At 38.5% G+C, this 26487-nt stretch overlaps 1 protein-coding gene across 26 annotated transcripts in view, besides 2 other annotated features; it reads right to left on the reverse strand.

Annotated features, from left to right (window-relative positions):
- The window catches only part of GOLGB1 (golgin B1), an 86766-nt gene extending 76181 nt beyond the window's left edge, over positions 1–10585 (reverse strand). For 15 of the 26 annotated variants that reach the window (XM_047447995.1, XM_006713591.3, NM_001366283.2 and 12 more), the window contains exon 1: positions 10251–10360. The gene's annotated coding sequence lies outside the window, so the exon portion shown is untranslated. Of the gene's footprint in view, positions 1–9628; positions 10361–10464 lie in introns of those variants that run through there. The other 11 variants (XM_047447993.1, XM_017006191.2, XM_017006190.2 and 8 more) reach the window with 2 other exon arrangements.
- Positions 10018–10067: an enhancer, noted in NCBI's record as "active region_20347". NCBI's record gives its function as "activates an Ori minimal core promoter by ATAC-STARR-seq in GM12878 lymphoblastoid cells {active_cell/tissue: GM12878}" and the evidence as "EXISTENCE:reporter gene assay evidence [ECO:0000049][PMID:35858748]".
- Positions 10088–10327: an enhancer, noted in NCBI's record as "active region_20348". NCBI's record gives its function as "activates an Ori minimal core promoter by ATAC-STARR-seq in GM12878 lymphoblastoid cells {active_cell/tissue: GM12878}" and the evidence as "EXISTENCE:reporter gene assay evidence [ECO:0000049][PMID:35858748]".
- Positions 10586–26487: the final 15902 nt, after the last annotated feature.

A 26487-nucleotide genomic window follows, 5' to 3' on the forward strand; every position in this document is an offset into this window, starting at 1 on the left:
GCCATGCTCAAAAAAACAGTTCAAAACTATAACCACTTAAATCTACTGAAGGAACTAAAAGGCATTAAAAATGACATAAGATGTGAAAAAATAAACATCAGAAATAGAAAAACCCAGAAATAAAGTGAAAACAAGAAGTGACTGAAAAATTTAAAAAATCATTTTGGAAATGAAGATGAAACTAGAAGGAACAAGAAAATGAGTAAATATAACAAACCATGTCATTAAAAAAAAGCAAAGTTGAAATGAAGGATAATTTTAAAAATCAAAAAGAAATGACCTAAAAAACTAGATATGCAACTACCTTATGACCCTCAATTCCACTCCCCAGCATTTATCTTAGAGAAAAGAAAACTTAAGTTCACAAGAGAACCTGCTGTATATAAACATTCATAGCAGCTTTATTTCTATTAATAGACGGTTAAGCAAACTGATATATACAGGCAAATGGTTAAACAAACTGGTACATACATCCCATCACATACTTCTCAGAAATAAAAAGCAACGAACTACTGATGGACCCAACAACTTAGATGGATCTCCAGAAAATTACATTGAATGAAAAAAAGCCAGTCCCAAAAGGTTACATATTATACAATTCCATACTTCTATAACATTTTTGAAATGACAAAATTTTAGAAATGGAGGAAAGATGAGTGATTACCAGTGGTTAGAGAGGGGTTGGGGTGGGAAGTGACTGTGGTCATAACAAGGCAACACAAGGGATCCTTGTGGTGTTGCAGCTGTTCAATATCTTGACTGTGGCAGTGGATACAGGAACCTACACAGGTGATATAACACTGCAAAACTTAATGATACACATACATACATATACAAATGAATATACAAGTAAAACTGGGGAATATATCTATCTCAATATCCTAATTGTGATATTATGTATTAGTTTTGCAAAATGTTACCACTGGAAGAAACAACAAAGTGTATAAAAGAGCTCTGATTATTTCCTACAACTGCATGTGACTCTACAATTGTCTTCATATTTAAAAAACAAATGAAAAAGAAATGAACTAAATGCAACATGATATCCTGAATTGAATCCTGGAACAGAAAATGGACATTAATGGAGAAACTGGTGAAATGTGAACAACGTCTGGAGTTCAGTTAATATTAATGTACCAATGTTGGTTTCTTAATTTTGTACACTGCTAATGTCACATGTTAATCTTAGGGAATACTAAGCAAAGGATACACCAGACTTCTGCACTATCTTTGCAAATTTTCTGTAGTAAACTTTCTGTAGTGATCTGAAATAATTCCTAATAATTTGTTTATTTTTAAAAAATGTAAGAAATTAAGAGTTACATAGGATTTGCGAGAAACAGATAAATATTGAAGATAAGTAATGTGAATAACAGGATTCCCTGAAGAAGAAAAGCAAAGCAAAGAAACAGCACAAATATGAAAAACCATAATCCAAGAATATTTATTTGAAAATTTTTTTTAAAAAGATTTGAAACTACATCTTGAAAGAGCCCACAATGTACCTCAGAATGTCAACTCAGAATGACCAACAAAACACTCTAGTAAAATTACTGGACTTAAAAAAATCCTTTAGGCTTTAGGCTAAAAGATCATATGACCAGTAAGATAAAGAAAAAAAAGCACTAGATTTTTCAACAGCAATGTTTTTGCCAGAAAAAAAAAATGAGTTACAAATTTAAGATATTCAAGAAAAGAAAAAGTGAGCCAAGGATTCTATTTCTGGCAAACACAAACTTTAGATATAAAAAACACAGACAAAATGTTATGAACGAGCAAGAAAATTCATGAAATATGAATATTCCCTTAAGCCTTTCCTAAAGAATTTACTAGAGGCAAAACTTGAGGCAATCCAAATGACTAAAGAAACATCATTATAAGAACTAGTGGTGAGCATTAAATATACGGTTACTAACAGAATTAAGACTAAGTAAAGACTGGAGGAGAGACAGCATAGTATGTAATGATTATATGCTCTGACAATATATAGGACAACCATGAAAAAAAATCGGGAAGAATGTGAATAGCATATGCAAAAAATAAAAAATATTTTTAAACAGTTTTCAATAATTAAAAGTGGTTGTTGTCTACGGCCATACCATCCTGAACACACCCGATCTCGTCTAAAGTGGTTGTGGTGGTGATATTCGTATCATCACTCCTAGATTACTATATGTGAAATGTAGAATTAAAGCAAATGATAATTATGGATACACTAATTCTGTATTTTCAGTTATGAAAAGAAGATACAGATGTAATACAGAAGAAATTAAGAACCCCGAAATACAAACTAATCTTTGAATCTGAATAGGAACACTCAGTGTGAAATGACAATTCAGTATTTTATATTTGTTCACATATTTTCCTAGCTCTGTCCACCAAAAAGGCTTAAAAGTAATGACAAACTGAGAAGCAATGAATATCTCTAGTGCCTAGATTGGGGTCTTGAAATACTCTTTCCCATTTTTAAAAAAGTTTTTAAAAGAAGGTTTTCTTAGAGAAATGGCTAATTCCATTTCTAAAGTGGAAATGTACAAAATGATCCTGAAACATCTTGTCATACAAGATAGGAAGCTTTCAAAGGACACAGGTTCCCATTGGCTAAAAGGATAATTTGAATATGTATGAATAAGAATTACAGCACACTGGGCCATACTGTCCAAGGTAATTTATAGATTCAATGCCATCCCCATCAAGCTACCAATGACTTTCTTCACAAAATTGGAAAAAACTACTTTAAAGTTCATATGGAACCAAAAAAGAGCCTGCATAGCCAAGACAATCTTAAGCAAAAAGAACAAAGCTGGAGGCATCACGCTACCTGACTTCAAACTATACTACAAGGCGACAGTAAGCAAAACAGCATGGTACTGGTACCAAAACACATACATAGACCAATGGAACAGAACAGAGCCCTCAGAAATAACACCACACATCTACAACCATCTAATCTTTGACAAACCTGACAAAAACAAGAAATGGGGAAAGGATTCCCTATTTAATAAATGGTGCTGGGAAAACTGGCTAGCCATACGTAGAAAGGTGAAACTGGATCCCTTCCTTGCACCTTATACAAAAATTAATTCAAGATGGATTAAAGACTTAAATGTTAGACCTAAAACCATAAAAAACCCTAGAAGAAAACCTAGGCAATACCATTCAGGACATAGGCATGGGCAAAGACTTCATGACTAAAACACCAAAAGCAATGGCAAAAAAAGCCAAAATAGACAAATGGGATCTAATTAAACTAAAGAGCTTCTGCACAGCAAAAGAAACTACCATCAGAGTGAACAGGCAACCTACAGAATGGGATAAAATTTTTGCAAACTACCCATCTGACAAAGGGCTAACATCCAGAACCTACAAAGAACTTAAACAAATTTACAAGAAAAAAAATAACACCATCAAAAAGTGGGCAAAGGATATGAACAGACACTTCTCAAAAGAAGACATTTATGAAGCCAACAGACACATGGAAAAATGCTCACCATCACTGGTCATCAGAGAAATGCAAATCCAAACTACAATGAGATACCATCTCACACCAGTTAGAATGGCAATCATTAAAAAGTCAGGAAACAACAGGTGCTGGAGAGGTTGTGGAAAAATAGGAATGCTTTTACACTATTGGTGGTAGTGTAAATTAGTTCAACCATTGTGGAAGACAGTGTGGCAATTCCTCAAGGATCAGAACTAGAAATACCATTTGACCCAGTGATCCCATTACTGGGTATATACCCAAAGGATTATAAATCATGCTACTATAAAGACATATACACATGTATGTTTACTGCAGCACTATTCACAATAGCAAAGACTTGGAACCAATCCAAATGTCCATCAATGACAGACTGGATTAAGAAAATGTGGCACATATACACCATGGAATACTATGCAGCCATAAAAAAGGATGAGTTAATGTCCTTGGCAGGGACATGGATGAAGCTGGAAACCATCATTCTCGCCAAACTATCACAAGGACAGAAATCAAACACCGCATGTTCTCACTCATAGGTGGGAATTGAACAATGAGAACACTTGGACACAGGGCAGGGAACATAACACACTGGGACCTGTTGGAGGTTGGGGGCTGGGGAAGGGATAGCATTAGGAGAAATACCTAATGTAAATGACGAGTTGATGGGTGCAGGAAACCAACATGGCACATATATACCTATGTAACAAACCTGCACGTTGTGCACATGTACCCTAGAACTTAAAGTATAATAAAAAAAATACAGTTAATCAAAATTAATACCTCTAGGAATACAAATTATAAATACACATATTTCCATGGAAAAATTATAAAATAAGTCACCAATGCTAAAACACCAGAAATAGTTGCTATTAGAAAACTTTACCAAATTGTCAAAAATGAGATAATCTAAGTGCTACAGAAGTTGCTGTTTATATTGCTCCAAAACATAGAAAAAGAAAATGAAAAATTACAAACCATCTCCCTATGAATACTGATGACAACATTCTAATAAATTTTAATTAGAATATTAAATAAAATATTAGCAAACTAAATCTGACTAGATACTGAAAAATATTATCACCAAGTGGATTTATTCTAGTAATTCAAATATCATTAATTATTATGAAATCCATTATGGAAACCCATACCACTACCACATGAGTTTCTGATTGACCCTCCCTAGAAAGGAGCGTGCCCATCAGCATCCTACTGAATATCATTGAATATCATAGCAAATGAGGAACACATACACATGAACACAGGATAATAATGATAATATTAATGGCAACAATTGAGAAACATTTAATTTAAATGCAAAGTGACTGTACCACTTTATATACTCTTTAATCTTAACAAAATCTGTAAGATAAGTATTATCATCATCCCCATTTTATAGAGGGAAACTGACACTCAGAAATTAAGACATTTCAAGGTCCCTCAGTTAAATATATAATACAATAGCAGTCAGGCAGGGTGGCTCACGCCTGTAATCCCAGCACCTTAGAAGGCTGAGGTGAGAGGATGGCTTGAGCTCAAGAGTTCAAGACCAGCCTGAGCAACATAGTGAGACTGTCTCTACAAAAAAAAAAAAAAAAAAAAAAATTTAATTAGCTGGGCATACTGGCATATGCCTGCAGTCCCAGATATTCGGGAGGCTGAGGCAGGAGGATCACTTGAGCCCAGGAGTTTGAGAGTGCAGTCAGCTATGATCACACCACTGCACTCCAGCCTGGGCAACAGAACAAGACCTTGTCTCAAAAAAAAAAAAAAAAAAATTAAAAAGATTGATAGAATAAAACAAAAAGCTATTTAAAGGAAAAATAGATTACTTTTCTCACATAACCATTTAAAAATATGTACATTTTAAGAAAGGAAAGACTAATATTTAAATGAGATAAAAATCTGAGAGAGTGCTAGAGATGTACTGTTCAGGCAGGACAAAAGGAGTCTCTCATAGATTGATTCAACAGTCTCAGAGATCCACAGGAAAGCAGGTGACATAGTGGGAAGAGCACCAAACTGGAAGCCAAGGAACTGAGTTTTCCGTCCTGGCTCAATAAGAAGCTGCATCATAGTGAGTAAGTCACCTTAAAGCGTCAGTTTCCTCATCTTAAAATGAAGACTAACAAGGACCATTCTAATGCCCCCTACTCTACAGCTGTTGACATTAAAGGAATAATCTGGAAATGTAAATGGAAGGGCATCTCACCCACAGTTGTAGGCTTTTGGTAGCTCAAAGGTTGGGAACTACAGGGCAAGAAAGCCAGTAAGTAGCCATGCTTAAGCTAAATGAAGAAAGATGGGTACTCCCCTCTATTAGGCTCACTGAGGACAGAAATGGGCAAATGTATAGATAAAAATTAATAAAGGGGAAAATATTCATAGTCATAGTCATAAATCTATGTATGTATATGTATATATACATATGTATACGTGTATGTATATATACATATGTACACGTGTATGTATATATACATATGTACACGTGTATGTATATATACATATGTACACGTGTATGTATATATACATATGTACACGTGTATGTATATATACATATGTACACGTGTATGTATATATACATATGTACACGTGTATGTATATATACATATGTACACGTGTATGTATATATACATATGTACACGTGTATGTATATATACATATGTATACGTGTATGTATATATATACATATGTATACGTGTATGTATATGTATACATATATGTAAAGATTAATAAAGGGGAATAGTCATATTCATAGTCATAAATTCATGTAAGGAATATGTATGACTGTTGGACAATGTTCTTGCTGTTATTTTATAAGGCACCAAAATAATGAATAGCAACTAAGGAAAAGAATAAAACACAGAGCTTCATGCCAAGGCCAGGGATTCCATAAAACACTAAGGCAAATAAAACAATTCCTCAGTCTATGCTGGTCACAGCTTTCACAAACCCTGCCACAGGACCTTAACACTTATGTGTTGAAGTGGCACTCAGAATTAAGTAAGTTTTATTTTCTCCAAGTCTTCACTGTTATCAATGATTATTCTTATAACAACCACCTGGTGTTCAGCATTATGCTAGGAACTATAAAAATATAAAAAGAATTATAAAGCATGTCCCTAGCCACCGAAAACAGAACAATATGCACAGGAAAATAAGCAAAATAACTGAAGACAGTGAGTGCATGCCTGTGTATATATGCATATATGCCATCTACTTTGGAATTTAAATCACATTTTCCCACAGAAACACAGAGAAGGTGGTTAGGTTTCAGTTGAGGTGACTCCTCAAACTTATTTCATGCTTATTTAGTTAAGCCTCAGTAGCTGTCCTTAATTCCTTAAATCTCAAAGTGATTTTCAACCAAGTTGAGGGGCTAATGGGTAGTGCTGTATAGCTGGAAATAACACATTCGATATTATGACATAATTTTACAATTAGAAAATGAACAACTATTTTTCATGATGCAGAAGCCACTATTTTAATTAAATGAATTTGTAAGTGGTAGCTATAACATACATACACAGCGTGACCTGCCAAACACTGCTCCAATATCTTTACACATAACTTACTTTTCGTTATTTAACTCACTTTATTTATTTATTTATTTATTTATTTATTTAATGTTATTTATTTTGAGACGGAGTTTCACTATTGTCGCCCAGGATGGAGTGCAGTGGCGCGATCTCACTACAATCTCTGCCTCCTGGGTTCAAGCGATTCTCCTGCCTGAGCCTCCCCAGTAGCTGGGATTACTGGTACCCGCTGCCACGACTGGCTAATTTTTGGTATTTTTAGTAGAGACAGGGGTTTCACCATGTTGGCCAGGCTGGTCTCAAACTCCTGACTCCAAGTGATCCACTCGCCTTGGCCTCCCAAAGTGCTGGGATTACAGGCATGAGCCACTGCGCCCGGCCTAACTCACTTTATTCTTAAAACAACCGCAAGAGGGAGTACCGTCAATATTCCCAGTTTTAAGGTGAGTAAACTAAGGCAGAGGGATGTTAAGTAATTTCCCCAGTCACATAGTTCGACAAAGCTTCTTGGTGGGTGAAGATACACAGAAAATATTTTATTTTCTGAATAATCTCATTATCCAATATTCTTTACTCGGGTTGAAAACAGAATGAAGGGATAAAGGCACTATGTTAATAGTTAGGTAAGTACTTTTTTTTAAAGCAGTAAGTAAACTAAAATGATTCATATTAGTATGGCCCCAAATAATTCCATATTGTTTATACCACAGACAGGTTCACACAAGGGCCCTAAGATATATATACATGGATGTTATATATATATATATATATATATATATATATATATATATATATGGATGTTACATAACAAAACATGTTATGTATGGATGTTACATAACAAAACAAAAATCCATGTGTGTATATATATATGTATATATGTATATATGTATATATATGTGTATATATGTATATATGTATATATGTGTATATACGTATATATGTATATATATGTGTATATACGTATATATACGTATATGTCTATATACGTATATATATACATATATACGTATATATATGTATATATATACATATATACACATGGATGTTATATAACAAAACACTACAGCAGTGTTTTGATGGCTAATGACTGAAAATCTAAATGTCCATCAATGGGGACAGGCTAAATACTATTTTTATATTTTTACAAAGGACTGCTGTGTAGCCATGGAAAGGATGAGGTAGTTTTATACCCATGGATATTGAAAGTGCCTAATATACAGTACTAAATGGCAAAAGCATGTGTATTAGGATTCCACTTGTGGGAAAGACAGAAGGGGGTATATATTATCATGTGCTTTATTATGATCAGAAAGTTTCTTAAATATAACCAAGAAATTATTTACAGTGCTTACTTCTGGGAAGTGGGGAATGGAGATGGGTAGATCAGTAGATAGAAAAGAAAAAGACTTTTTTTACATTGTATCCTTCTGTATTAAATTTCCTTTTATCAAAAGCATATAGCTGATTTTAAAATAGCTTAATTAAAAATACAGCAATATAGAGCTTAGTCTCCTTTTACATAATGGTTTCTAACCACAGACTGGTATGTAATGATCAGTGGTATTCCTAATAGTAATTAACCTAGAGAAATTAATGAATGATTTATTTTATAAACAAGGATAAAGTCAACATCCCTTTAATTAATCCATTAATCAAAGGGAGAAAAAGAAAGGGGGCCTATAAAACTCAAGCAGAAGGTTGAAAAAAATCTTCTAAAGATCATGTTTAAGAAAGGCTGCATCCCAGAGTCTGGATGCCAGAAATGCCAACGACCTTCTTGAAAAACAAGGAAGTATCTTTACGTGATTGTCAAATTGGGTTGGGAGGTCCCAAGGTGTGGACAAGGCTTTTTAAAAACTTCATTCTTTTACGTTTATACTTTTGCATATTTCATATTATACACAACATATTTACAGTGGTAGTCATACACTATAAATAATTAAACACACAACATTTGGGGAGATGCATGCTCAAAAATGTTTTACTGATAGGGAGTGCAATTAAAAGGTTTGGAAGCTGCTGAGGTAGTAAAAAATATTGATGCAGTGAAAAGAAAAACATTAAATGGTCATTCTGTGGTCAAGGGATGAGAAGTAAAAGCTATGAAGCAGTTAATGTACAATGCCTGCAACTTTTGAGTACTCTTCAACTTTTTCCTGCATCTATTCCAAAACCAAATCCTGCCATTTTTCCAATAGGATATTTCCTGAGTTTGCCCCTTCATAACCATTCTGACCATCTAAATCTTATCAATTCACGCTTTTGGAAAGGCCTCTGGCCCTTATGTAAAGAGCCCTCCACTTGCTTGCATCTTGCACAGAACTGTAAAAAGGTCCTTTAAATGCTCAGACAGCTTCCAACTATCTCCAAAAGTGAAAGTACTTACCCATGATTGTAAATATCCCTGTCCCACTCTCAAACTGTCCGCTCCCCATAGACCAACTGGAGCTCTTTAAATAAGTCAGACAAATATATTCCTCATTCCTCAAAGGACTCACCCTCCCTTTCACATTCCGGTTGTGCAGATTAAACATACTCCACACCATCAAACCAAGTTATTTTTCCTCGAGAACTCTCTTAGAGGTTCCTTTTTCTCTAACAGCCTGCCCACCTCTGATTCCTGGGATTTTCGTGTTGACGGGATCGTTGGGATCTTTCCTCTCTTCTCATCTTTCCAGTAACCCATTAGCATTAGCAGGATTATTGGACAGGCCTCCGTTTGCATTAATATCTCCAATGATTCTGTGATCTCCGCCCTAAAGACCTTTGATTTCTTTTGGTCGCGCCTCCCCTTCGGGACACCAAGTTTGTTTAGGGCCTGAGCACAGGGGCCCAGCAGGTTCTTTCCGACGTCAGCGGCTGCGTACGGAGGCCGACTTAGGCAGGCCGCTCCAGGAACAAGGCCGTGCGGACAGGACTGACCTAGGCGCTTTTCCCCGTCGCTCCCAGAGGAGAAACGTACCGGGGAGGGGACAGACCGTGAGCAAGTGGTCCAAGTCTGCGCAGGGTGACCCCGAAGGCCCACCGGAGAGGCCGAGGCTTGTGGGCTACTAGAACTAGGCCTGGTAGGTGAAGGAGGCGGGTGAAGGGCCGGATCCAGGACTGAATCCGGGAGAGGCGGGGCGAGGAGGGGACTCCGGTGTAGCTGCTTGGGCAGCTCCCGCGGCCCCTCTGGCGGGGGTGACCGTTATTGGACTCGCAGAGGGAAGAGTTGGGTAGCGTCCCCTACTCACCTAGAAGCGCTGCCGCCTGAGGCTCCAGCTGCCCCCCTCCCAATTCAAGCCACGTCAGCTCGGGAAGCCCGTACGCGACACCTTCCACCGCCGCGCCCCGCCAGGGACTCAGCCACTAGCAGTTGGGACGGAAGATGGGATTAAGACACCGACCAATCAGGACTATCGGCAGGACGTTACCAGGGAGACCAGGCACACCTTGTTTGTTACCAACCTATCAACAATGACGGAAACCAATCAACGACAGAAGATGCTCCGCTTCCTCAAAGAAACAGCCAATGGACCCTAAAGAGTGAATGAGGGGAGTGATTAGACGCGAGTAGGTGCCCCGGAACAAGATCTGGGGAGGGACAGGAAGTGTCGAGTGGGCGGGCGTTCTGGGAAAGGTCAGATGTTCTCAGTGTGAAGTGGTTATGCTGGCTTCCTCCAATTCCTCCTCTTCGTCGGTTGTGACTGACCGAGACAGCGGCTTGGGCTTCGGCAGAGACTTGAGACTGCGGGCACCCGCTGCCATTAGGATTGTTGAATGAGCTGTGAGAAGGGAGTGGGGGATATGGGACTCTTAGATTGAAAAAATACTGGAGCCTCTTAGTTGTTCGTCTAGTTTCACCTTTTGATTTTGTTGATGAAAAATAATTAACCACAGAAGTAACTTGCCCAAAGTCAAACAGCGACTTAGTGATGGAACTCGGACTAGAACCCGGTGTCAGTATGAAAGAGGATCAGCAATGTCTGTAAGGACATGATTGTGAGAGAGAGAGTAGTGAATACTAGGAAGGTGCCTCTTACAAAGTGGAGCCTAAGCCAGGACCTAAGCAAAGATTGAGAGTTGAGGGCTCAGGCTCTGCAATGAGTGTCAGTGAGGAGCTCCAGCAAAAGACTGAAATCACTCATGCTTTCCTTAAACCCCTAAGGAAAGGGAAGGAAAGTAGCCAGTTTCCAATGAGCTGTCATTTCAGGCACTCTCTTGGCAATAAGAGTAATGTTAGTTTGAATTTATTGAATCTTGCTGTGCACTCAGCTGGCCCATTGTATGTATACTCATCTTAATGATTACATAACTTCACAATTCAAACATCAGCTAAGTAAGGCCTTTCCTGGCTGCCCATCTTACGGAACTGGAGGTCATTATTCTAAGTGAAATAAGTCTGGCACAGAAAGACAAATATCCCATGGTCTCACTCATGTGGGAGCTTAAAAAGTTGATCTCATGGAGTAGAGATAAGTACCAGAGGCTGGGAAGGTGGAGTTGGGGGAGGGAGGGAAGAGATTGGTTAATGGGTACAAACGTAGATAGAAGGAATAAGTTCAAGTGTTTGATAGCACAGTAGGGTGACTATAGTTAACAATATGTTATATATTTCAAAATAACTAGGAGATTAGAAATGTTCCAAACACAAAAATGATAAATGTTTGAGGTGATAGATATCCTAAACACCCTGATTTGATCATTACACATTGTATGCATATATCAAACTACCACACCCCATAAATATGTACAAATATGTATCAATACAAACATAAATAAAATTGCAATTTCCTGCATGCACTATATACTTCTTCTTTGCTTCTTTTTCCCCTAAGCATTTTGCCATCTAAAGTACTATATATTTCATTTATCTGGTATCTCTCTTCTCATTAGATTATAAGCTCCAGGAAGGTAGTAATTTTGATCTCAGCTTTATCTCCAGGTCCCAGAAAAGTATAGAGGAGGGCACTCAATATCTGTTAAATTAATAAAGTATATATGATTATCCTTATCTTAAATGTGAGACAATAAGACTTCAGAAGGTTAAATAATTTGCACAAGGTCACATGGTGAGGGGCAGAGACAGAATTTGAATGCTGCAGTACTTAATGAATACATCATATTCTTATATCCCTGATTGTATCCACCCAGCAAAGTCCTAAACCTGCATCAGTCCAACCATTGGTCTCTACTTCTACCTTTGGGGAGCAAAATGCTGCAGGAGACATCAGGACAATGTCATCAGTGACATCAATGTCCTGACCACTGCACATTCAGTTTCCAGCTGAACTCCATCTTCAGCACACTCCCAAATCCTTCTTGTCTTCAGCTTCCTCTCCTATTTGCCACAATTATTCAAACCTTTAACATCCTCTTTAAGTCCCAACCCCGTGTCTACACTTCACACTCCTAGCAGATGAACTTGCTTCTATCTTAGAGAAAATAGAAGCCATCACTGAGAGTCCTATTGTACTCCCTTACACAAAATTTACCTTTCTACATACTTATTTCCACATTCGACCTTAGAATTTACCTTTCAGTTTTAACAGAATGAAAGTTTCTTATGGGAGACGAGATTAGAATTTTTTCTGTCTAGTAGGTCTTCTTATAGCTCTACCTTCTATTATTGGGTGAGCACAGTATGGTGAGAATTATAGTGAACACTAGGGGTGTGAAGGAAGAAAATGAGGTGGAGAAGTTAAAGAGCAAAACATATTATTTCTAAGTTCACTGAAGGACTGGAAATAATTTAGAATGCAACTTAATGGAAGCAATTTAGGCTCTGAGAGGGTGATCAAGATAATAAAAGATAATTAGGGGTTGCCCCAGCAAAAAAGAGGGTACAGAATAGTGGAGGTAGATGGAGCAGCATGTGCATGGACCATTTGGGCAATTTGACATAAGTGATATGACTGAATGGTTAGGCAAAGAGTAGGTCATAAAATTGTGCCATTTTATGCTAAGGGGTTTGGATATGACTCTAAGCTCCAGAGCAGTTAGAGACTGCAGAAATCACAGAAGTGTGGAGTCATTCAGGTGTCCCTTAGAGAGTGATCATTTCCCTAATTGAAAGTACAGGGAGGAAAAGTTGAAAGACAAGAAATGTCACATTCTCTGTGATTTACTGTTGCCCAATTCCCTCTCCCCTTTTTCAGTTCTTTCCTCATCATCATCTTACCTTCCTCTATACCAAATGCAAACTTATTCCAAAACTTTCATGCAGCCTTATTTATTAATGTATCTTCCATACCTAACGTATCTTCAGCATAGTATATACTCAATAAATATTTGTTAAATAAAATATCCAACATAGAATTCTATATGAATAAATCTTAAAATCTTGGAGAAATAAGAAATTGTCTTGAAAAATATAACTTTGAGACATATCAATTATATGCAAAAATATACAATCACATGATCACATCAACCAATGAAGAAAAATATTTTCACAAGAAGAGGGAAGGTGGGGAAAGAAGAAGAGGGATGGTGGGGAAAGAGGAAGGGAGATGAGGGGGGAAAAAGAAGAAGGAAGGAGAGGAAAGAAAGGGGAAAGGAAGACGGAAGGTGGGGAAAGAAAAAGAGGGATGGTGGGGAAAGGGGAAAGAAGAGGGATGGTAGGGAAAGGGGAAAGAAGAAGAGGGATGGCAGGGGAAGAAGAAGAGGGAAGGTGGGGGAAGAAGAGAGGGAAGGTGGGGATAGGGAAAAGAAGCTGAGGAAAGAAGGTGGGGAAAGAAGAAGAGGGAAGGTGGGGGAAGAAGAAAAATCAACACCCATTCATGATTAAAAAAAAAAACTCAGAAAACTAGGAATCGAAGGATATTTACTCAACTTGATAGAAAAATATTGCAGATTCTTAATGGTGAGAAACTGGATGCTTTCCCTCTAAGATCAGGAACAAGGTAAGGATGTCCCCTGTCACTACTCCTAGGTGACATTATACTAAACCTCCTGCCTAATGTAAGACAATAAAGGGAAATAAAAGATATTCATACTAGCAAGTAATAAATAAAACTGTCTTTGTAGATGGCATGATTTTTTATGTAAAAAATATCTAAGAATAAACAAAAACCTCCTGGAATTAATAAGCAATTTTAACGAGGCTACAGGGTAAAAGGTCAATTGCTTTCCTCAGCAAAGAACAATTGGAATTTGAAATTAAAAACACAATACCATTTACATTAGCCTCAAAAAAAAAAGACGAAATAAATACTTAGGCATAAATCTAACAAAATATGTACAGGCTCTATGTGAAGGAAACTAGCAAACCTCTGATTAAAAAAATTAAAATCTAAATAAATTGAGAAATATTCCATATTCCCAGAAAGCATCAGTATTGTTACGATGTCAATTCTTCCCAACTTTATCTGTAGATTCAATAAGATCTCAATCAAAATCTTAGCACATTATTTTGTGGATATCAACAAATTAATTCTGAATTTTATATGAAAAAGTAAAAGACCCAGAATAATCCACAGACTATTCAAGAAGAACAAAGTTGGAGGACTGACGTTACCCAACTTCAAGACTTACTACACAGCTACAGTAAACAAGACAGCATGGTATTGGCTAAAGAATAGACAAATAGACCAATGGAACAGAATGGACAGCCCCAAAATAGATCCACATAAATGTAGACAACTGATCTTTGAGAATGGAGCAAAGGCAATTCAATGGAGAAAAGAGTCTTTTCAATACATGGTGCTAGAACAACTGGAAATCCACATGCAAAAAATGACACACACCTTATACCTTTTATACAAATTAACTCAAAGTGGATCTTAAGATGTAAATATAAAATGTAAAAATATAAAACATCTATAGGATAATTTGAGACTCTAGGTGACTTTGAGTTTGGTGATGACTTTTCAGATACAACACCAAAAGCATGAGCCAATGCGGGGGGGAGAACACAATAAGTTGGACTTGATTAAAATGAAAAACTTCTGCTCTGCAAAAGGCACCGTTAAGAAGATTAAAAAAACAAGGCACAGACTGGGAGAAAATATTTGTAGAATACCTATTTGATAAAGGACTGTTACCTAAAATACACAAGGAACTCTTATAATGCAAAAATTTTAATTAAAAAAATTCACAAGTGGGCAAAAGATCTGAACAGACACCTCACCAAAGAAGATACACAGATGGCAAATAAGCACACAAAAAAATGCAGCCGGGCACGATAGCTCATGCCTGTAATCCCAGCACTTTAGGAGGCCGAGGCAGGCAGATCACAAGGTCAGAAGTTTAAGACCAGCCTAACCAACATGATGAAACCCCCGTGTCTACTTAAAAAAATACAAAAATTAACCAGGCGTGGTGGCGCGCGCCAGTAATCCCAGCTACTCAGGAGGCTGAGGCAGGAGCATCGCTTGAACCCGGGAGGTGGAGGTTGCAATGAGCTGAGATTGCGCCACTGCACTCCAGCCTGGGGGACACAGGGAGACTCCGTGTCAGAAAGAAAGAGAGAAAGAGAGAGAGAGAGAGAGGAAAGAAAGAGAAAGAAAGAAAGAAAGAAAGAAAGAAAGAAAGAAAGAAAGAAAGAAGGAAGGAAGGAAGGAAGGAAGGAAGGAAGGAAGGAAGGAAGGAAGGAAAGAAAGAGAGAGAAAGAAAGAGAAAGAGAGAGGGAGGGAGGGGAAGAAAGAAAGAAAGAGGAAGAAAGATAAATGAAGGAAGGAAGAAGGGAGGGAGGGAGGGGAAAGAAAAGGAAAGGAAAGGAAGTCAACATCATATGTTACTAGGGAATTGCAAATTAAAGGAACAATAAGATACCACCACACACCTATTTGAATCACAAAAATCCAAAACCTGGACATCATCAACTGCTGGCAAGCATGTAGAACAACAGGAACTCACATCTATTACTGATGGGAATGTAAAATGATACAACCACTTTGGAAGACAGTTAAGCAGTTTCTTACAAAGCTAAACATAGATTGACCATACCATCCAGCAATCATGCTCCTAGATATATCAAAATCAGTGAAAATGTATGTCCACAAAAACACTTGCACATGAATGTTTATAGCAGCTTTATTCGTAATTCCCAAAACTTGAAAGCAAAGATGTCCTTCAGTAGATAAACAGATATACTGTGGTATTTCATACAATTGAACATTATTCAGTGATAAAATGAATTGAGCAATCAAGCCATGAAAAGACATGGAGGAACGTTAAATGCATATTGTTAAGTGAAAGAAATCAGTCTGAAAAGGCTATATACTGTGTGGTCCAGCAATTTGACATTTTGAAAGAGGCAAAACTATAGAAACAGTAAAAGAAAATCAGTGGCTGTCATGGATGGGGTTGGGAAGGGGCAAAGAAGGATTAATATATGGAATAGAGAGAATATTTTAAGGGAGAGAAACTATTTTGTATGACACTGCAGTGGTGGATATGTGGTATTGTGCATTTGTCAAACTCCATAGAACTGTATAACATAAAGAGTAAATTTTAATGTAAACTGTGGACTTTAGTTAATGATAATGTCTCAATATTGGTTCATCAAATGTAATAAACATGGTAATAATAGGGGAAACTGCTGAGAGGTGGGAAGTGGGGGGAGGATGAGATGAATATATAAAACTCTGTATGTCTGCTCAATGTGTCTGTAAATCTAAAACTGTGCCAAAAAAATAAAGGAATGTATGTGTATACATATATTTCCAAATTTGACCCAAGAAAAAGTAGAGGAATCTGACAACTTCTAGAAAAAAAAAAACATTTAAAAGTTGTTAATCTCAGAAGAAAAGTATACAATCCAGACAGTTTTTCAGGCAATTGCTTTTGGGGCTTTTTTATAGACTGAATATTTGTGTTCCCGGCAAAATTCATATGCTGATGTCCTGTCAATTTTATAGTATGAGGGGGTAGGGCCTTTGGGAGATAATTAGGTCATGAAGGTAGAGACCTCATGAATGAGATTAGCGCCCTTATAAAAGAGACCCCAGAGTCCTCCCTTGTTTTTTTTTTTTTTTTTTTTTTTTTGAGACAGGGTCTCACTCTTGGGCTGCAGTGCGGTGGCATAATTTTGGCTCACTGCAACCTCAACTTCCAGGGCTTAGGTGATCATCTCATCTCAGCTTCCTGAGTAGTTGAGACTACAAGTGTACGCCACCATGCCCAGCTAATTTTTGTGGGTTTTTTTTTTTTTTTTTTTTTTTTTTTTTTGTAGAGATTGGATTTTGCCGTGTTGCCCAGGCTGGTCTTTAACTCTTGGGCTCAAGCAATACACCTGCCTCGGCCTCCCAAAGTGCTAGGATTAGAGGCATGAGCTACTGCACTTAGCTCCCTTGCCTCTTCTGCCACGTGAGGATGAATGAGAAGATGGCGTCTGTGAGCCATGAAGTGAGCCCTCACGCAACACCGAATCTACCAGTGCCTTAATCTTAGACTTCTCAAACTCCAAAATTATGGGAAATAAATTTCTGTTGTTTATAAGCCACCCAGTCTATGATATTTTTATAGCATCCCAAACTAAGACAAGCTTTCAAGGAACAGATATTTCCTATGCTATACAATCTATACAGAGCATAGGAACAGATGGAATGTTTCCTAGCTAATTCAGGTCTAAAAAAAAGAAAAGAGAAAAAAGAAAAAAAAGGTCTTTTTGTAGTTTAACTGATTACCTTTGTCATTACACTTTTCTTTCTCCATATTTACTCTAGCCAAAGATATTGTTTACAAAAGTATCTATTTTCAGGGCAGCTTCGTGGGGCCTATAATGAGAAAGAGGTAAAACCAGGGTGGGCAATCAAGTGATGGCTCCATGGCAGGGCCACTGAAACTAATAGCGCAGTTAGAGCCCTAGCCCTTCCAAAGCCAGACATGAGCCAGGGCTTGGAACATCTTCTGCAGGCTCTCCAGGGCTTCAATGCACAACAGAATGTTGCTGAATATCAACTGCAGCTGTTCAGGACTGAGATGCCCAGCGGACCGCATCAACAGCTGACACTGCTCCCTGATGATGTGTGTGTCTCTCACATAGCTGGTCTCTAGAATTAGTTTTACATACAGTCATTAAATAAAAAATCCACATTAATCAGGATTCTCTTGGGGTGAAGATGAACCTTAATTATGAGATTTGGATTTTGTATGAAAATATCTCTGTATACTTGCCCTGCCCTGGGTCCTTATCTGTTGTATTTCCCTACATGAGCAAAATTCCCAGAAGGATCCAGAGTGTACCAAACACCACATAGTCCAAGCCTGAGAAAGATAATTTTTCTGAATTCCTTGGCCTTCATATGCCAGGAAACCAAAAAGCTGGCAGGACTACTAGAATTTAAGCCCCACCCCCATGCTTGTACTGTAGATTATCCACAAGAGTAGGGGCTGGTGCTGGGCAGGAAGCAGTAGGAGGGGCCAGAGATTATTGCTATCAGCAATACAGAAGAAATGCACATTCTGGAAGGGGACAAGGAGGTGATGACTGGAAGAGCAAATTCCTGGATCTCCTTTGACCTGGGCTTCTGAATATGCTGGGGCAGTGGTCCCCATCCTTTTTGGCACCAGGGACTGGTTTCATGGAAGACGGAAGGGGCAGGTGGCGGGGTAGAGGGTGGTTTCAGGATGAAACTCTTCCACCTCAGATTATCTGGCATTAGTTAGAGTCTCATAGGAAGCGTGCAACCTAGAGTCTTCGTGTGAGCAGTTCACAGTAGGGTTCGCGCTCCTTTGAGAATCTAACGGGGCAGCTGATCTGACAGGAGGCGGAGCTCAGGCAGAAATGCACCATCGCCCACTGCACACCTCCTGCTGTGTGGCCTGGTTCCTAACAGGCCACGGACTGGTACCGGTCGATGGTCCGGGAGTTGGGGACCCCTGTGCTGAGGCATGGATGCAGCAATCTTCAGCTGCATTTTTCCTTTCTGGCAGGCTTCCATGGGTGCCAAGCCATGTCAGTAGGGCTGAATCTGACGTCTCTCTGAAGTGCCAGAACACCACTAGGGACAAAAAAACACCAGGGCTGGATTAGTGGTCACAACCAGGGTCCAGGATGCCTAAAAGATAGCAGGACATCTGTCCCTTGAGAGACTTGTTCAAAATTGAAGGAGTTCAAGTTTATTGTAAGGCACTAACCAGTGGCATCTGTTTCTAGGAGTCATTGGAACCACCGCCCTTGGGACCAGGGGAGTTTTGGAGAGGAAAGTTGAATCATAAAAGAGCATAATTACAAGGCAATTTAGGGGAAAAAGAGAAGGAGATAATGGATTAGCTAGAGGTCCCTGGAGCTCAGAACTAAAGGCAGGGGAATTCAGGGTGGGAGGAAAGGACCTGTGGTGAGATAATCAACTGCAATCTCTTGAGAATAGAACCCAAATTGCTATACATGCCCTGAGACCATCTAGGTGCCCCCTTATGTTATCTCTGTAGTTCCTTAACCTTTCCTGTGTCCCTGAACTCATCTTGATTTATTTCAGTTTCCTGCAGTAGAATTCAGCAGTTTTATTCTTGTGATGGCCAAATAGTTATCTGTGGGGTCATCATGACTGACTTAGAACAGAGTTCACCTGCCTCACCAGAGACAATGCAGCTCTATTCAGTGAGGGCTACAGAGATTTACTTACTAAGCAGCACCTCACTCATGCTGGCTATCTCCAGCCAGAGCAGCACATCTTTGTTCCTGCACCCAGGTAGGCACCTGAAAGTTGGATCATGGGCCACTCCAGCCCCATAACACTTCCCCTGATTCAACTCAAATGCCCAAATTCGTATCAGACATCATACTAGACAACACAATTTGGCTGCTCTCCCAGAAACTAAAAGACTTATAGATAACTTATGTTATGTTAACTTCATGCTGCTAGGCATCAATCCCTTACATGTAGATTAGGCTCTTTATCCTCAGTAAAATGGTGGAGCCATGATTCATATTCACAGATTCTGACATGTAAACACTACTCTGCACTGCCTGGTGTTCTGCTCACTGCCCACAGGCTGACCTTACCTCTCCAGACATTTGAGTCTGCTGTGATCTTTTCTTCCTTTCCTCTTTCTCATTTGCAATGGGAACTCTCCAAACAGGAATTACTATTGTCCAGGGCAGCAAGCTTAGCATTTTGGGAGTTAGAGGGTCCTGGCAGCTTTAGGACTATAGCTACTGGAAGCAAGGTTACAACCAGTTCCTCAGAGAATTATCTCTGTGTATATATATATACATATATACACAAATACACAATGCCTTAAAATAACTTCTAAGCAGTATACAGGTAAGTTCAAAAGAAAAAAATATGTTGTACAGAAGCTCAAGGCATTACTGACTGAAGGATTAGTCAGAGTGTTATGTGCTTAAAAGAATTGCCTCTTAGAAATTGCTTTGGATTAAAGGTTTGGAAGAGGGTGAACATATGGGCATATGGGAGCCGGGTGGGGCAGGGGAGATGTGGCAGGAAGGGCATCAAATGTAGTGGAATGGTTTATGAAAGGAACTAGGCTACTTGTCCCTCTTTTCATAATTTTCAAAATTTTCCATTTTGATGGTTTGGGCTTGTCTTAAGGCAGCATATTTCCAGAATAGAAACTTCCTCAACCACCTCTAATCGAAGCTAGTTAGAAATGATTCAGCTTCAGTATCATGGTTCTAAGCAAGTTGAGGCCTACTTGGGAGGTTTACTGAATTCAGACATAGCCTCAGCCGAGAAGTCCCTTGAGAGACTTGCTCTAAATTGAGGAAGCTCAAGTTTATTTTAAGGCACTTATCAGGGATAAGAAAAATTCATGTCACACAATAGGCAAAATCTACAGCCAACAAAAGGGCTTCCAAAAGTAGGTGATGGAACCATTTAGCAGAGCATTCTCCCACAGAATCTGGCACTACTGGCTGCATCAGTTCTCTATTTCTTCCTAATCAGGTCCAGAGCCAAACCAATGATTCCATCCTTTATTTTTTTGGAGACAGGCTCTGAAGTTTGAAAAGTAAGGTGCTTTAAGCATGAAGTTAGGCAGCATGATGGTAGCACTTCAAAAGAAAAGTTTTGTGAATCATGGGTATCTCCTCTGGAAAATGTGGAGATACCTGGTCACACACTGGTACCCTCTTCTTGACTAAGGTCTATCTGCAAAATGCAGCTGCAGCAGATATGAACTGGGAACCCATCAGTGCTCAGGACAGAGGCACTGCTGCTCTGTGAATTGTGTGGGCTCTGTTCTGGTATTCAAAGGAGGCCAATATGACATGAGATAGATTTCAGACCATTTGTCTCCATGTCATAGTTGATAACCATCCCTCAAACCAATTGGCTCCTAGAAACAGATGCCAGAAGAGGCTTTCTAGGGGAATTTGGGTTCTTGTTCTCCTGACTTTCCTTTCTGGAATGTTGGCCCTCCTAATTAGGCACTAGGTTTACAGAGAACTGGGCTAGCTTTAGGGAAACTGAGGCAAGGCCTGATGATTTTTGTTTCATCCTCTTGAACTTCTCAAAACTTTGAATGTACAGAAGCCCTTGATGTGTATTTTGCTGCCCAGACCTTTGGTTTCTGCAGGTCCCTGTATGTAGTCCATTTCTGAGGTGCAGGTGATTGAGATTTGGGGGTCTGTTCTGTCTATGGAGCTGCAGGCAAGGTGCTTCTTTGCCTCCTGCTTGATTAATTTTGGAATGAGGAGTGAGCATGGCAGATTGAGCCTTAGGAAGGCTGAAGATGTAGAATGAATAGATGTCATGGTTCCAGGTTTCTCAGAAGCATCAGAGACTCCTGCTCCTGCCTTGGTGTTAAGACCTCAATGCTTGTCTTTCAGCTCTCACTGAGCATCTTCGAGCATCACTATAGTTTGCCCAAAGGTAGGGAGGGCTGAGCAGGAATGCTGGCATATCGGGGAGCCAGAGAGCTAAAGGAGCCAGCCATCCTTGCATGAAGAATGGCAAGGATTGCCTCCCAAGCATGGTTTCTGGCTGGGAACTCCTTTTCTGAGAGGTGAAGAAATCCCTGTTAAAACTCCATGTCTACAGGAGCTAGAGATGTCACAACTATTTGACTGAAGGGCCTAGAGTTGGCTAGGCTCTCAAATCAAGGCATCTGCTAACTCCAAGAGTCTTCCCCAACAGAATCAGCAGACTCTGGGTCATTATGGAGCTCATGGAGCCAGGAATGAAACTCTGAAATCCATCCATGATGAGCAATGTGTCAGAGAAGGCCAAGATAGGTGGGCTCAGTCTCTATGCTTGGATCCATATGCCATTTCCACTTTTCAAAGGGAATGGAACTATGGAGAAGCAGCGGCAGCATTCATTCCATAAGAACTCAGGCACTATTACTCTATGAATCATTACTGAGCATTTATAATAAATGAAGAACTCATATGAGGAGCAATGGTGACTTTCTCATCCTGGAGCACCTAGAGCAAGGGTCATAAGGAATCTAAAATCTAAAATCAAAGAAAATTCCTAGGAGGTGTGACCAGAAAGCTGTTACTCAGCATTCATTCAACAAGTACTTAACTAAGCACAGACCTTGTGCCAGACACTGGTGTGGCTTATTCTTGATCCAGGATCTAAGAATCACAGTCCTGAAAGCAGGCTTTGTGAGGGGGATTTCTCCAGCCCATCAAAGTGAGGAATTTATTATCATGTATCTTAGGAGATAGGTGGCAGGGCCCTCTTTGGGGAGCTCTCAAGTATTATAGAGTTTCCTCAGGACACAGATCTATTTAATGGGTTAATATACCAGCACAAAGAGGCCACTGTAACTCAAATTACATATCAAACTGACATCTCAGATATGCTTAAAAGCACTTCCATGGAGTGTTCCACTAAGGTTTACCCTAACAAAGAACATCACCAGGATTTAAAAACACTCCCCACTATTGCTGATACAACTAGTAAATGTGAAGATTTGCATGTAGAGCAGATATTGTGAGAAAGTCTACGGATTCCCTAAATGTCTCTAACCTTGTCCTGGATGTGTCCTGTTCACTACACTCCCCTTGATCTTTATCAGGATATCTTTAACATTTAGGATATTTTCTAGATTTACTACTTTAGGGTCCTAAGCACATTGTTTAGGAAAATGTATTCAACCCAGAGTCAAAACCAAGTTGTCAACAGGTTTTGTATAGCCAGCAGTTTACAGACCCGCTTTTGACCCCAGAAGGGAATTCAGCCTGAACCTCTGCCTCCTGCCCTATTCCTCCCAACCCTCCAGATAACCAACCTTCTCAGTCCTCTCCTTCACACAGATTTTAATTCAGCTGACAGGCACAAGAAATACAGGCTGATTAATACAAATGAAGGCTGCATAATTCGTAGATTTAGTAATGAGATGTCTTATAAAACTTTTGTAGGAAACAGGTGTTTTCTCCTAACCCTGGAAAATTCTTTTCCATTAAGATATGTGACTTCCTCTTTATGCCTGTGTGGCACTGAGGGGTGCATATTCTAGAGATGGCCATCGAGGACCTTGCCTCAACTCTCTTGTCTTCTCTATGTCATATATGGGCATTCTGTGAAACGAATTTATTCATTCCATATTAATTCATTTAACTTATTTTGATTCGTATTTCTATTCTGCTTATTTTTTATTATTGTGAGTAAATTATATGAAAATTCAGAGTACTTAAAGTTGTTTGGATATCTGAATGACAGGGCAAGTACATTTTTGCATGTGTGCTAGATGAATCCACTCTTAACAGATAGTTACTGAGTGCCTCCTAAATTATAAACTGGTTTAACAGATAAAATACTTTTTTCATTCCCTCTGCCTGGAACATTCCCATTCTACTCCTTCAACTGTCAGTTCATCCTTCAGTTCATTCTTTGAAGTGTTTCCTCTGAACATCTCCAGGACTAAGCTAATGACTCTCACACAAAAATCCCTACCTGCAAAATAATAGTCATCACACACACATTTATTTTTTAAATGTTTATCTCTTCTACTGAGATGAAACCTCCACTAGCAGAGACTGTTACCTGTTTTCTGCATCTATTACAGTGTCTTTTACCTTATAAATGCTTATAGATGTTCATTGAATGAATAGATGTATTTTAGAGTTTAATATCTCTGATATAATAGATTCTTGGTCAAATACTGAGAGCTCAGTCACTTAGCTAATTGAGCATCTCAGAGTACATAATAAGAGGACTAGAAAAAGTTATAGGGCACCATTCTGGCCCTCAAGAGGGCCTCCATAAAGTGGATGGACCATTTGCATACAAAGAATTAAATGTCTACACATAACCCAAGTACGAAAAGAGTGGGTGAGTAAATGAATGATTAAATGAAATGAATAAGCAGTTCATTTTAGAGTTATATAAAATGAGCTTAACCTTGGACCATTTTTTGTTTCTCATCTTATTTTTTACATCTGTAAAATGGAAATTATCAATGTTCCTATTTTAAAGGGTTGTTGTGAGGATTAAGTAAAATAATGACCGTAAAATTCTTAGCACAGAATCTGGTACATATCACACAACAAATGTTAAAAATTATTTATTAGTAGTAGTATTGTTATTATTATCTTTAGGTTCTGGGAAGGGTCAGGTAGGATGATTTGATGAAGGATCTATAAATAGCATATTATTACATTCTCAATAGGCTAGGGAGGGAACCAGCTATAAAAGACAAATGCTGAAATGATTATCTTTGATTGGCAGCTCTCAAGCACTTAACTATTAATGAGGAACCCAAAGAACTTTTATTTAGGTGGGTTATAGCTAGTGATATGCTGGTAAGCATTTAGCAACCAGGAGGAATGTTACTGCAGGGGAAAATTTTGGACTTGTAGTGTTTACTTATTTCTGTGATATTACCATTCCCACCATCTCACCATGTCTAATTTCAAGCTATCAATATGCCTTCATTGAATGTGGAGAGATGTGCAGGAACACACACACACACACACACACACACACACACACACACAATTTCCCCCATACAGATGCAGTAAACATATTACTTTGTTTTAAATATTATGTGTTTAACCATAAGTTTATGTAACTTTTAAAATTAACCAACGTCCATACGTTATTCAGATTTCCTTAGTTTTTACCTACCGTCTTTTTTTTTCTGTTGTAGAATCTCATCCAGGATAGCACATTACATTTAGTCATCATGTCTTCTGTTAAATAAAATTTATGAGAGACCACTGATTTGGACTAGGATCCTACACTAAGTCTAACACGCCAAACCAATATGGAGTTTAACTATAGCAGCTGAGCTTTAGTTGATTGCAGGAAGCTCTGTAACCAATTAACCAGTTAAGTTGTAATCAATTAAGTTGTCTCTGCACTGCACTTTCATTTCCTATAACTCATGTCAGATAATGTTATTGATGGGCATTCTCTCAATCCACTCTGGCTCGAAGGGCTGCCAGATTCACAAATCATTCTTGTTTTATTTTGCTTTCCTTTGTTTTGTTTTGCTCTGTTTTTTTTTTCTTCGCTCAAATAAACTTAGTTAAAATATAAACTTGTCTAAGGTTTTTTTCCATTCTCTATTGTGTTCCATTGGTCTCTGTGTCTGTTTTTGTACCAATACCATTGTTTTGATTACTCTAGCTTTGTAGTATCATTTGAAGTTAGGTAACGTGATACCTCTGACTTTGTTCTTGGTGCTCAAAATTGCTTTGGCTATTCGGGCTCTTTTTTGGTTCCATATGAATTTTATAATAGTTTTTTTCTAGTTCTGTGAAAAATGGCCTTGGTTATTTGTTAGAAATAGCATTGAATCTGTGGATTGGTTTCATTCAGCATTATGAAAATGTTAATGAAATCGATTCTTCCAAACCATGAGCATGGAATGTTTTCCCATTTGTTTGTGTTGTCTGTAAGCAGTGTTTTGTAGTTCTCCTTATAGAAATATTTCACCTCCTTGGTCAGATGTATTCCTAGAAATTTTATTTTATTTTTGTAGATATTGTAAATGAGATTGTGTTCTTGATTTGGCTCTCAGCTTGAGAGTTATCAGTGTATAGAAATGCTACTGATTTTTGTATGTTGATTTTGTGTCCTGAAACTCTACTGAAGTCGTTCATCAGGTCTAGGGGTCTTTTGGTAGAGTCTTTATAGAGTTTTCTAGGTATAGAATCATATCATTAGCAAAGAGAGATAATTTGACTTCCTCTCTTCCTATCAGGATGCCTTTTCTTTCTCTTGCCTGATTGCTCTGGCTAGGACTTCCAGCTCTATGTCGAATACAGGTGGTGAGAGTGAACATCTTTGTCTTGTTCTGGTTCTTAGGGAAAATACTTCCAGCTTTTGCCCCTTCAGTATGATGTTGGTTATGGGTTTTTAGTAGATGGCTCTTATTATTTTGAGGTGTGTCCCTTCTATGTCTAGTTTGCTGAGTGTGTTTATCATGAAGAGATGTTGGATTTTATCAAATGCATTTTCTGCATCGATTGAAATAATCATACGGTTTTTGTTTTTAATTCTGTTTATGTGGTGGGTCACATTTAAAGTCTGTTTTATCTGATACAAGAATAGCAACCCCTGCTCCTTTTGGTTTTTCATTTGCGTGATAGATCTTTTTCCCTCCCTTTACTTTGACCCTGTGGGT

This window comes from Homo sapiens, chromosome 3, assembly GCF_000001405.40.
Source record: "Homo sapiens chromosome 3, GRCh38.p14 Primary Assembly".
NCBI lineage: Eukaryota > Metazoa > Chordata > Mammalia > Primates > Hominidae > Homo > Homo sapiens.